The 13,275-nt window shown below is 43.9% G+C and overlaps 1 protein-coding gene across 16 annotated transcripts in view; it reads right to left on the bottom strand.

The window, feature by feature from the left end:
• Positions 1-5,557: 5,557 nt before the first annotated feature.
• The window catches only part of SPATS2 (spermatogenesis associated serine rich 2), a 160,574-nt gene continuing 152,856 nt past the window's right edge, over positions 5,558-13,275 (bottom strand). For 13 of the 16 annotated variants that reach the window (NR_120663.2, XM_047429409.1, XM_011538691.4 and 10 more), the window contains 3 exons: positions 10,130-10,232; positions 8,087-8,301; positions 5,558-7,039 (listed from right to left, as the gene is read on the bottom strand). Coding sequence is in view for 15 of the 16 variants with exons in the window: in XM_047429409.1 (XP_047285365.1) it covers positions 6,728-7,039; positions 8,087-8,301; positions 10,130-10,232 (630 nt within the window). In the remaining variant the exon portion in view is untranslated. The remainder of the gene's footprint in view (positions 7,040-8,086; positions 8,302-10,129; positions 10,233-13,275) is intronic. The other 3 variants (XM_047429412.1, XM_017019840.3, XM_024449135.2) reach the window with 1 other exon arrangement.

The following is a 13,275-nucleotide window of genomic DNA, read 5'->3' as shown; positions in this document are numbered from 1 at the left end:
TGGGGTAGGGGTGCATTTTCTGATAGGTATGGCAGACAGACAAGAGGGGCACAGGGCTCACCATGCTGGAGGGGCATGCACTCAGGAAGAAAATTTACAGAAGGAATAGGATAGCTGGATTTTTAGTATTTTTGTGATTAATAAGGTCTGTCTGGCTGGATATAGGGGAAGTCTTCTTTCATATACTTTTCAACAAAGCAGGACAGACAGAAAAGGAAAGGGGCTATGGGGAGTGAACATTCAACTTGTCATGGGTTAGCCTAGACACGCAGGGCACTGTTTTGTAGCACCTGGCTAGATGTCTCATAAAGTCGTTACCATTGTCCCACTTCACAGTTCAGAAAGAGGTTCAAAGCTGTTATCTGTCCAAGGGCAGTCGGTCACACAGCTACCAAGCTGTGAAGCCAGAATTAAAATCCAAGTTGAATCTTTATACTCTACCACACTGCCTGGCCAACAGGCAGGGCTCCCAAGGGTTTAAGGACGAGCTCTACTTCCTTTACCTGCAAAGCAGTTGAAGAATGAGCTAGGGCTGGGCCTGGTGGCTCATGCCTGTAATCCTAGCACTTTGGGAGGCTGAGGCAGGCAAATCACCTGAGGTCAGGAGTTTGAGACTAGCCTGGCCAACATGGTGAAACCCCGTCTCTACCAAAAATACAAAAATTAGCTGAGTGTGGTGGCAGGCACCTGTAATCCCAGCTACTCAGGAGGCTGAGGCAAGAGAATTGCTTCAACCAGGGCGGCAGAGGTTGCAGTGAACTGAGATGGCCCCACTGCACTCCAGCCTGGGTGACAGAGTGAGACCCTGTGTCAAAAAATATAGATTAAAAAAAAAAAGAAGAAGAATGAGCTAGAATAGTTTCTGGCTCAGAACTCAGCAGAGTGCCTAGCACACAGTAGGTACCTCAATGTATGATGGAGAGAAAATGTGCCCAAGTGGCTACAACAACCAGAAACTTGATTTTATAGTATGTTGTTCTGGCTACCAGCATTGTGAGCCGGTACTTTGAACTCGTTGGTTAAACTAGTGATAAAATAGTTTCTTGTATCAGTTGGCAGCCTCCCAGCATGTATACCTGTTTCTTCCAAGAAATGTGCTGCCATAAGGATACAATCCTCACCAAATGGGACCAGAAGGTGGGATGAACCCTACAAATCAGGGAAGACAGAACCTCATTTTCTTGGGTCAGATGGTAGAATTTTCAGGGGCAACAAGACATTATTCTACTGACCTTCTCCAAGAGAACGGGTTAGTACAAAGATGAGTGACATGCATCCCGAATTTTCCGGGTCACTCCTAACTTCAACTAGTTTATCCTATTCCCTCCCATACATACATTCATACTCACAAGACTGTACCCTGGTTTGGGATTCTGAAATATAATGGAATGTCACTATCTCCATACACCACTGCACAACTGCCTGATCATATGCTGGTATAGTTCTGGCTCAAGCATGGGACCCAGCCCTTTCGGCTGTGCTCCCTCCACCTCGAAGACAGCATGGCACTTTCAAGCAACACTATTTCCTTGTATTATTTATTGGTATTCTCAGTTGCATCAACTGGTTTATCAGCCATGTGAAGTCAGGGATTGTTTCTCTCCTTAGCTTCTGGCTCAGCAACTGTACAAAGCATTGCCAAACACTGGTAGAAAATGTAAACCTGGTGGCTGGGTGTAGTGGCTCACACCTGTAATCCCAGCACTTTGGCAGGCCAAGGTGGGAGGACTGCTTGAGGCTAAGAGTTCGAGACCAGCCTAGGCAACAAAGCAAGACCATATCTCTACAAAAAATAAAAATAAAAAATTAGACAGTTGTGGTGGCATGCACCTGTAGTCCCAGCTACTTGGAAGGCTGAGGCAGGAGGATCCCTTGAGCCCAGGAGTTTGAGGCTGCAGTGAGCTATGATCCCACCACCGCAGTCCAGCCTGGGTGACAGAGAGTCCATATCTCTAAATAAATAAGTTGCATGTGTGAATCCGTGCAACTTTATCAAAATAATACTTTATCAATAACTATATGACCTAGTAATTCCACTCCTAGGAATTTATCCTACAGGGATATTCTCTCAAGTGAGGAATGATATATGCATTATGGAATGCTCATTGCAGCAATACTTGTAATAGCAGAAAACTGAAAACCATCATTAGGGACTGGTTAAACTAATAATAACAAACTTATACAATGGAATACTATGCAGCCACAGAACAGAGGTCTATACCTCGTAGACCTCCATCCACGTCAGTAAGTAGAAATATACTTGATTTTTCTTAAAACAAAACAAAAAAATGAGTTACAAAAAGTGAGGACAAGTGAAAAAAGCAACTTGTATAAGGGTATGCACAGTATGAATCCCATTTATGCAAAAGAAAGAAAAGGTACTTCTATGTTTGGGTTTAGAAAGTTTCTGGAAAGACATGTAAGAAACCAGCGATTTCTTCGGGGGAGTGGGACAAGGTAGAGAAAACTTTTAAATTTCTACTATGTACCCTTTTTTGTGTTTGTTTTTGTTTTGAGACCGAGTCTCACTGTGTTGTCCAGGCTGGAGTGCAGTGGCGCGATCTCAGCTCACTGCAACCTCCGCCTCCCGGGTTCAAGAGATTCTCCTGCCTCAGCCTCCCAAGTAGCTGGGATTACAGGCACCCGCCACCATGCCCGGCTAATTTTTTTTGTATTTTTAGTGGAGACGGGGTTTCACCATGTTGTCCAAGCTGGTCTGAAAACTCCTGACCTCAGGTGATCTGCCAGCTTCGGCCTCCCAAAGTGCTGGGATTACAGGCGTGAGCCACCGCACCCTGTCCCCCGCCTTTTTTTTTGTGAGACGGAGTCTCGCTCTGTCGCCCAGGCTGGAGTGCAGTGGCAAGATCTCGGCTCACTGCAAGCTCCGCCTCCCGGGTTCACGCCATTCTCCTGCCTCAGCCTCCCGAGTAGCTAGGACTACAGGCGCCCGCCACCACGCCCGGCTAATTTTTTCTATTTTTTAGTAGAGACGGGGTTTCACTGTGTTAGCCATGATGGTCTCGTCTCGATTTCCTGACCTTGTGATCTGCCCGCCTGGGCTCCCAAAGTACTGGTATTACAGGCGTGAGCCACCGCGCCCAGCCCGGTCCCTTTTTTTTAAAAAAAAAAAAAAAAAAAAAAAAAAAAAAGCTGGTCTGCACTTTTGTTTAAAAGCACATTTTTTTTAAATCGCCATAAATTAGGGGCATAGGAAATATATGATGTTCATAATGAAGCCATGCTAATTTAAATTTTGCCTCTCAAGTGTCATGTAACTGGCAGAGCTAAACAACTTAAAGTTGCAGTCCTATCTCTTAAGTTGGGCAGGGTGAGACATTTGTCTGAAAGAGGAAGTGGAAAGAGAAGGACAAACAATGGTTAGGTAAGGCCTCTTGGTGCACCAGTGGTAACTGCCCAGGGGATGTATCTTCCTTCTTTTGGGAAGCCTAGAACCACTATGGGCAATGAGGAATGGGCTACACAATTCAAACTTAGGATAAACCTAACTTCTCATTGAAGAAGAGTCAAATTGGCAAATTTAGGAGAAGATCCACAGCATGAGATCCTAAATGAATTATAGTTTACACATATTATTTAAAAAACTACAGAATATACATAGTACTATGATCTTTTTTTTCTTGAGACAGTTTCGTTTTTTTTTTTTTTTTTTGAGAGTCTCTCTCTGTCGCCAGGCTAGAGTGCAGTGGTGCGATCTCAGCTCACTGCAACCTCCGACTCCTGGTTCAAGTGATTCTCCTGCCTCAGCCTCCTGAGTAGCTGGGATTACAGGCACCAGCCACCATGCCCAGCTAATTTTTGTATTTTTAGTAGAGACGGGGTTTCACCATGTTGGCCAAGATGGTCTCGATCTCCTGACCTCATGATTTGCCCGCCTCAGCCTCCCAAAGTGCTGGGATTACAGGCAAGAGCCACCGCGCCTAGCTGAGACAGAATTTTGCTCTTGTTGCCCAGGCTGGTGTGCAATGGCGTGATCTCGGCTCACCACAACCTCCGCCTTCGAGGTTCACGTGATTCTCGTGCCTCAGCCTCCTGAGTAGTTGGGATTACAGGCATGCACCACCACACCCAGCTGATTTTGCATTTTTAGTAGAGATGGGGTTTCTCCATGTTGGTCAGACTGGTCTTGAACTCCCGACCTCAGGTGATCCACCCACCTCAGCCTCCCAAAGTGCTGGGATTACAGGCGTGAGCCACCGCACCCAGCCCAGTATGATCTTTGTATAAAAAAAATTAAAAACCCATATACTCATGTGTATATGCACATACATGGTTTAAAAACAGTCTAACCAGGAGTGATTGTGCACAACTGTAGTCCAGCTACTCAGGAGGCTGAGGCAGGAGGATTGCTTAAGCCCAAGAGTCCCTTCTAATCATGTCCGTAAATAGCTACTGCACTCCAGCCTGGGCAACACAGTGAGACCCCATTTCTAAAAAGAAAAAAGGTGTAGAAGGATATATGCCAAATTAACAGTCATTACCCCTGAGAAGTGGAAAGATGGATAACTTTTTTTCCTTTTATATTTCTGTACTGATATTTTAAATACTACTTTCGTAATAAAAACTTTTTTAATTCATAATTTTCAAACTTTTTGTGGTCATGAAAAATTTTCAAATATTTTTCTATAAGGAGATTTTAATTTCAACTTCAAGGCATTTTTGATAAACATGCCTTGTCCCATCTGTCTGGGTGGTTAAGTACGGTCTTGCCTGGATACAGGGACAGACCTCATAATCCTTCAAGGTCACTTCAATCTCTGGATTTCTGATAAAGTACAGGTAAGCAATTAATCAGAAATGCAGGGCTTTTTCCTGACACCCAGCAGGCTGTTGGTGTCGTTGGACAAATTCCCCAAAATGAGGTGCTCTTGGAAAATACCCAGAACTCCTTGACTACTGTTTTCTTTACTGACAGACAGACAGACACACACACTCTCTCTGAATGTGTTCAACCAACCTGAACCCTGGCAGCTCAGCTTCACTCAGCCAAGGAGGCAAGGGAAGCCCTGAGGCAGCTACGTTCTGCACGGCTGCCACTTACAGTCTGGGCTTCAGACTTGGGAGAACACATGCCAGAGAAAGAAAAGCTCTGCTGTGATTAAATCACAGATGCTGGGGGTGAGTGTGGGGTGGAAGGGTCTGGCACCCATGCCACCTGCTACACGCAGGAGCTCAATTATACGGTTACGTTCAATACTCAGTCAAGGGACAGGGAGTTGGGGAGAGCAGTGCCATTATAAACTTTGGTTACCTGGGAGAGCCTGGAGAGCTGTGGTTTTCTTAAAGTGGTTAAGTTCTCCTTTGGAAAGTCACCATTCCCTATCCTATGATCCTTTCTCACTAGGAACAACTGCATTTGCTCTTCCTGGCTTTCATATTTTAATTTGGTTCTGAAGCTACGCAGTGGTGGCAGACAAATGACTTGGGAATCAGATACCCTCATTTAATCCTGGAACAAGCTGTCTGAGTGACTTCTACCCCCATGAGGCCCAAAGAAAAACATAATGAAATGAAACCACTTGCTGCTATGAAACAAAAGTGGGCATATTTATGCAGTTGTTTTTATTTATTCAACTGTAAAGACTGCAGCAATTTTTTTGATGAGTAATGCCTTAGATTAACACTAATTATATTGCTATAAATTTGGTTCAGGATCAGAATAGGGTTCAGGAAAGGGAGAGAACAAAAAAAAAAGTCTCCAAACATTAAAACAGAAAAATGCTTTTTTTTTTTTTTTTGAGACTGAGTCTTGCTCTGTCTCCCAGGCTGGAGTGCAGTGGCACAATCTCAGCTCACTGCAGCCTCCGCCTCCTGGGTTCAAGCGATTCTCCTGCCTCAGCCTCCTGAGTAGCTGAGATTACAGGCACACGCCACCATGCTCAGCTAATTTTTGTATTTTTAGTACAGACAGGGTTTCACCATGTTGGCCAGGCTGGTCTTGAACTCCTGACCTAGTGATCCACCCGCCTCAGCCTCCCAAAGTGCTGGGATTACAGGCATGAGCCACAACGCCCAACCTTTTTTTTTTTAAACTTTAATTAAATGCTACTTTCTCATAGACTTCCCTAGACTGGTTTGCAATCTAAGGTAATAGGAAACAAGGCATTGGGCATTTTGAAGAAACTGCAGGTTAAGCTATGGTGCCAAGCAGAAGACTAAACACTGATTTGAGTGTCAAATCTCCAGCACATTCTGGGATAGAGGCAGGTTCTCAAATGTTTCCTAGTGTTCTTTCCTTTTCACTAATTAAATTTTCCCTTCTCTGGCGAATCCAGTGCAGTATACAACCCCCTGATTGCCTCTCTTGGTCAAATAGTTGTTAGAAGGGAACCTGTCAGGCACCTGTGGCTTCGGCTTAGATTGGAAAGGTGACAGACTAGCTCTGATTCACCTCCTCCTGAGACAGCCTGGACAGTGGAGGGATCAACTGGAAGGCCGAAACCTGGTAACAGCTGCCTCTGATTCCTGGTGGAAATGACCAACCAGATTCAATCCATATCACTGGGAAAGATCAAGGAAAAAAAATAGCTTCCCCTCCAAAAATGGTAAAGAGGAAATAAGGAGACAAGAAACCAAAAATACTTAGAATGGCACAAAAAGTGATACGCATAAACTTCTTTTTGTTATTACATCTAACTGTAAGTTTCCTAAAGTCCAGTTATCAAGTTGAATTGTGTGGATAGAGGAGAGAGGCCAACTGGATTTTCTCTCAAGAGTTCACGGCTTCAGTCTGAGAGGTCCTGGGTTTGCGCTGGGGGAGCCCCTTTTTGAATGAAGGCGTGGGAGGGCTGGGCTCCATGCTGACTCCAGTTCCATTGGTCCCTGCAGAGTGAGTCTGGCCTCTTTCAATGGTGTTTCCTGGTGCCTGAGATGGAGCACTCTGATACCTGGAACCAGATGAATACCACGAGCTGTTTCTGTAACGACCCATACTGTCATGCCGCCCTTGGTTCATGGGGTCATTGGACTTTTGGCCTTGTGGCCTATAGCCCTGTCCTCCTCGTCTGTTCCCTGGCAATACCTAAAGATGAAAGAATACAATGTTCAAGGTGCTCTAGCATTATGGTACCCCATTCGTTCACTTTACAGGAGTATTCTGAAAGCAGAATTGTGGTATCCCATGCTTGGGACTCAGTTATCTCTCAAGACTCAAAGAATTCTCTCAGCCAATCCAACCTAGCCACTACTTCAGAACTAATCCATCTTTCCCTGCTCTTCATGCCCAGGCTCTTCTCCACTGAAGAATTTACTTTTCTTTAGCTGGATGCAAGAAGAAAGATAAGGAAGAAAGAACATTCTCTGGGTTGTTACAAGCCCTCGATTGGACAAGTATATTATATTATGTCTGAACTCTGCAGATAAAAGGCCATTGGTAAAGATAATACACATTTGGAATAATAAAGTAAACATCACTATGGCCTGCTTTGCTAAATGTCATGAACTACAGATTAAAGTATGCTGCTGTGGCATTCAGCACATCTTTCGCATTATAATCCGGAAAGCTTACGGTATGGGATTTTATTTTTGTCCTCCAATTCCAAACATCATACCAGTTCTGAAGAATTACTGACAGTACTGCCTTGGATTGCTCTTGTGTTTATTCTTCAAACAGGAGAAGAACCTATGGATTACTCCTCAGCTTTCTAGTGTTTTCCCCCCATCCCCACCAGTTCACTCTCTCTTTCCCTGTAAATTCCACATTGTGCTTCTAGGGAGCTGCTGCTTTCAGATGCACACTGGTAAAACTGCCACTTGTGGTGCCTGTCTACCTTGAGATGGGTGCACGACTCCCAGTGTGACTAATTACCAGGCAATACTATCTACAACAGCAGGGATCACTGCCAACACAAGAAAGTCAGCAGTTCTTGGCAACAGGAAATCTAAACTGGCTGGCAGTTTGGAACATACGTATCTAATGCTTTCTCAGGAACTAACTTGGGTTGGAGGGATTCAAAACAGGCATGGAATGGGAATAGAGAGGAAGATAATATACTGAGCTAACAGCATTTAAGCTTTGACAATCTGGAGGGTTTTCTTCCTAACATGCTCAGTGTAGAAGCTAGGTTACCTCCCGAAGTGGCTGGTAGGGCTGGCCACTGGAGTTTGCTATGGCTGCAGGAGTCTCTCCCGGTGCAAAGTTTTTCTTGTTAGCACTTGTAAGGCTGGGAGGAGAGGCACAGGTGGAAGAGGAAGCAGCAGAGGCATCACTTGGGCTACTCAAGGACACAGATGTAACTGAGCTACATCGGGATCTGGTCGAATAGCTGTTCTTTGGATGAGACACTGAAACAGAAATATGAGGAATATATGATCATATGATAGAACAGCACAATGGATAAGGTTTCTACTTTCTCAATTTCACAATGAGCAATTTAAGATAAAGAACTGTCTATTCGAATAAAGAAAAACCTATAAAACTGGTAACAGGAAGAAAAATCTCCCTTCTGCCCTCTTCCTCCACTTCCTCCAAAGCCCCACTGCTTTGTAAAGGAATTCTTAGACAAGAGAACAGTTAAAATCAAAGTTACCCATTCCCCACCAACTAATGACTTCTTGGGATTGGATCTAGTACTACCTAAACTCCTGACTATGGCTCTAGCAGCTGACTAAGCCTGGGAACAATAGTACAGACCATATGTTCAGTTTCCTATGCAAGAAACATTCTAAGGAACAGCCTTTGCAAAGAAAGAAAAAGGTACATAAATAAAATCTTTACTAAATTCTTTTTAAAGAATTTTGAATGATACAAGGTATAAATAATCAAGATCAGTTAAATATGAATAGAACTAATCTTTATAACAAACATGTATATTGCCAAATTTCTTTCTGCAAAATTAATCCCAAATTCAAAGTACCTATCTAACTGAAAAAAATATTAATATTTTCAGTTCAAATTGTGTTAGAATTCCAGTGGTTTAAAACTACTCTCTAGATTTTTTTCTTGGCTTTAAGCTGGATTAATGATGAGTTTATAATTGCTGCCATAGGTGAAATATTTCACTTTTTTTTTTTTGATCCGGAGTCTCACTCTGTCACCCAGGCTGGAGTGCAGTGGCACAATCTCAGCTCACTGCAAACTCCGCCTCCTGAGTTCACGCCATTCTCCTGCCTCAGCCTCCCGATTAGCTGGGACTACAGGCACCCACCACCACTCCTGGCTAATTTTTTGTATTTTTTAGTAGAGATGGGGTTTCACCATGTTAGCCAGGATGGTCTCAATCTCCTGACCTCATGATTCACCTGCCTCAGCCTCCCAAAGTGCTGGGATTACAGGCATGAGCCACCGCGCCTGGCAATATTTCACTTTTATACTAGACAGAAAGAACAGAGAGGCTGAGTTCAGGGTTTGACAAACAGGTCACTAGAAACTCTCATCTCACAGGCACTCCCCTATCCTTTAATGCTTTATTTAAGGATCTATTATGTGCCAGACAAGACAAGTATTATTTTCTCCTATTTATTAATTTTTTTAGAGACACAGTCTTGCTCTGGTGCCCAGGTTGGAGTGCAGTGGCAATCATAGCTCACTGGAACCTCAAACTCCTGGCTCAAGCTATCTTCCCCCTCTCACCCACCCCCACCCCACCTCCTGAGTAGCTAGGACTACAAGCATGTGCCACCACACCTGGCTAATTTTTTCTTTTGAATTTTTTGAAGAGATGGAACCTCGCTATGTTGCCCAGGCTGGTCTTGAACTCCTGGGCTAAAGTGATCCTCTGGCCTCAGCCTTTCCAGTTGTTGGGATTATAGATGTGAGCCTCGGCGCGTGGCCTGTTATCTCCACTCTGGAGAGGAGTAAAATGAGGTTACTGTAGGGGCAGGGATTCAAACTTGATCTGACTGTAGGGCCCCATGCTCTTTATACCACATATCATGCACCTCTCAATATGGCATGAAAAAACAGTCTTTCACATTTAGGGAGCTGGCAAATACTTGTCCTCAGAGTTCAAAGTATCTGCACCCATGGACTTCATAAGCATCCTAGAGTTAGTTTTCATATAAACAAGCAAACAAGAGGCACTAATGAGGAATCAGTGGTGAAGACAATCAGCACGTCAGTCTCTAATTAATAATCACCACCTGTAGTGCCCAGACCCTCTCACCATCTCACCTTGTCCAAATGAATCAATGCTCTTCTTTAGGGTCTCTACATCACAGGTGAACCGGGCTACTCGTCCCAGATCCTCATCATATTTACGTTCACTAACAAAGTGCTGGAGAAAGGACAAAGAAAGGCCTCCAGGTTAGACAAACAACATCCATGGAATCTATAACTTGCTATACAGATTAAACAATCATTTTCAATTGTCTTTTTATTGCTTCAAAGTTTATTAAATGGCCATCACATGACCAACGCCAGGTGATCGAATAAATTCATTCATTTTCTCAAGAGCCCACAGATAAGTTTGTAAGTTTATGAAATGCTACATGATGGCTAAAGCCCATTAGATATAATCAAGAGAAACTACAGAGAAAGAAAAAAGGAGGAAGAATTTATAGTAGAGGGCCATCTTTCTACTGTTGGCTATTCTCCATGTCTTTCCATTTTATATAGAAACAGAGGCAGCAAAAATCTTTACAAGGTACTACAATGATACCATTTAGATAGATGGTTTGGTGTTAATAGGAACTTCCTTAGGAAACCTACTTCATCTCTTTATAATAAAGTAGGATTTCTTAGTCCTTGAAATAGGAACAATTTCTTGAGATGGAAAATCATTCATGTGAAAAGTCAACTTTGCAAATGAGAAGTTTATGCTGCAAGTAATTTAATCCTTTTAAGCAGACTGAGCTGAGAAGTAACCAACCCCTTGAGTCAAAAACTAACCATGCTATAAAAATCATGGGACTAGAAACATGTCAGGAATAAAGTGCTTCTGGGGGTCTATTTCATTAAACAATGTCTAAGGTAGACTGGAATCATTTTTTTTTTTTTCAGATGAAAAGGAGATAAAAAAGAGAAGTGAAAGGCCTAGATATAATTTGGAAGAACTGAACCCCTCAGAGCACTCCTCTTAACTGGGGGTGGGCTAATACCACTCTGCATCAGAATTCTCGGGAAGCAACCAGAAGCACTGAAAGGGAAAGGAGAGAGAAAAATGACCTTCCGGCCTTGAATTCCTAAAGTTTCAGAGTATGTTGTGGCTTAGGAAAGCACACGAACCTCTTGTTACAAAGCCTTCAGACATGTAATATCAGTCTGAGATTAATTCTGAAACAAATTCTAGGGTTTGTTGAGTCAAAGACATAATAGGAATGACGGAAATAAAATGATCTGGAAATAAGACATTTAAATTGCACAGCACCCACTTCAGTACACTGAAAAAGTGGAGAGAAACAGATCCTTAGTCAGCCTGCAGAAATATTTCTAGCAGCTTTTCAGCCACGTGGGAAGAGGAACAGATGAAGCCTGTGAGAGCCAGCATTCTCATCTAATTGCAAAGGGGTTTCCGGCTTCTCCCCGAGAGTTGAATGAGACTGACTGGCATCAATGTGAGGAGGCCTTTCTATAAAATTTAATCATATAGTTTTAGTTAAACAGAAAACAGTAACTGAACATTTGCATGGTTTGGCTAGTTCACCCCAATAGAATTAAAGGGGAGGCAGTGAGAGAACAACACCACTCCACAGGTCTAACACTGGGTCAGACGATAGTAAGGATCCCTGTAAGGTCCTGGATGATCTTCCACCTCTGTTTTTATTTTAGAGAGACTGTTGTACAGCCTCTGCAGCAAGTGTTCTCTCAGTGTGACAATAAATCTTATGTGTTCAGAAAGAGAAGAGGTAAAGGGCACAGGTGTGGAGAAGGCCAACTCCCTTTGTTACAGCTTGCAGTTTATAAGCAATTATTTAGAATGCCAATGACCACAACCATCCGTGAATATCCCAATTTCCCTCAGGTTCACATGCTTAGTCTCAGAAACACTGTTCTTTATATAAGAATTTGGCCAGGCGTGGTGGCTCATGCCTGTAATCCCAGCACTTTGGGAGGCCAAGATGAGTGCATCACTTGGGGTCAGGGGTTCGAGACCAGCCTGGCCAACATGGTGAAACCCTGTCTCTACTAAAAATACAAAAATTAGCAGGGCGTGGTGACACATGCCTGTAATTCCAGCTATTTGGGAGGCTGAGGCACGAGAATCGCTTGAACCCAGGAGGTAAAGGTTGCAGTGAGTGGCGACAGCGCCACTGCACTCCAGCCTGGATGACAGAGCGAGACTCAAAAAAAAAAAAAAATTAAAAAGGTATAAATGTTGAACCCAAGTAATTGTTATAAATAGATTATAACAAACATCTCAAAGATAATTTTTCTCTATAAAATCAGAATTGGTCAACCAACTATTTACAGAAGACCAAGTACATGCCAAGGTGCTGTGCTAGGCACTTGGAGAGACAGGAGCTCCTGCCTGCCACTGTGAAGTTCACTATCTAGTGGGGAAGACAAAGTAACCAATGCACATAAAGTCATAACTACGCTCTGAAACCACAGAATGAGGAGATATGATGGGGAAGTCAGGAAGGATGAGGAGGTCAAGGGTGGTAACTGGGCCGGGCGCGGTGGCTCACACCTGTAATCCCAGCACTTTGAGAGGCCGAGGCGGGTAGATCACCTGAGGTCAGGAGTTCAAGACCAGCCTGGCCAACATCATGAAACCCCATCTCTACTAAAAGGATAAAAATTAGCCGCTGGGCGTGGTGGCTCATGCCCGTAATCCTAGCACTTTGGGAGGCTGAGGCAGGCAGATCACCTGAGGTTGAGAGTTTGAGACCAGCCTGACCAACATGGAGAAACCCCATCTCTACTAAAAATAAAAAAATTAGCTGGGCATGGTGGCGCATGCCTATAATCCTAGCTACTTGGGAGGCTGAGGCAGGAGAAGCGCTTGAACCGGGGAGGCGGAGGTTGCGGTGAGCTGAGATTGCGCTATTGCACTCCAGCCTGGGCAACAAGAGCGAAACTCCGAATCAAAAAAAAAAAAAAATTAGCCAGGCGTGGTGGCAGGCGCCTGTAATCCCAGCTACTCGGGAGGCTGGAGCAGGAGAATTGCTTGCACCTAGGAGGTGGAGGATGCAGTGAACCGAGATGGCACGCCATTGCACTCCAGCCTGGGTGACAGAGCGAGACTTTGTCTCAAAAAAAAAAAAAAAATAGTGGTAACTGTAGTTGGAGGCAGGGAGAAGAGCATTTGGACAGATGGAAAAGCAGGTGTGTCTGTGGAGTGTAGAAGCCTCCAGCCTCTGCTTGAGGGCAGAGGA

Source organism: Homo sapiens, chromosome 12, assembly GCF_000001405.40.
Source record: "Homo sapiens chromosome 12, GRCh38.p14 Primary Assembly".
In the NCBI taxonomy this organism is placed as follows: domain Eukaryota; kingdom Metazoa; phylum Chordata; class Mammalia; order Primates; family Hominidae; genus Homo; species Homo sapiens.
The sequence above is the reverse complement of the archived record's forward strand: the minus strand, read 5'-3'. Positions and strand labels throughout refer to the sequence as shown.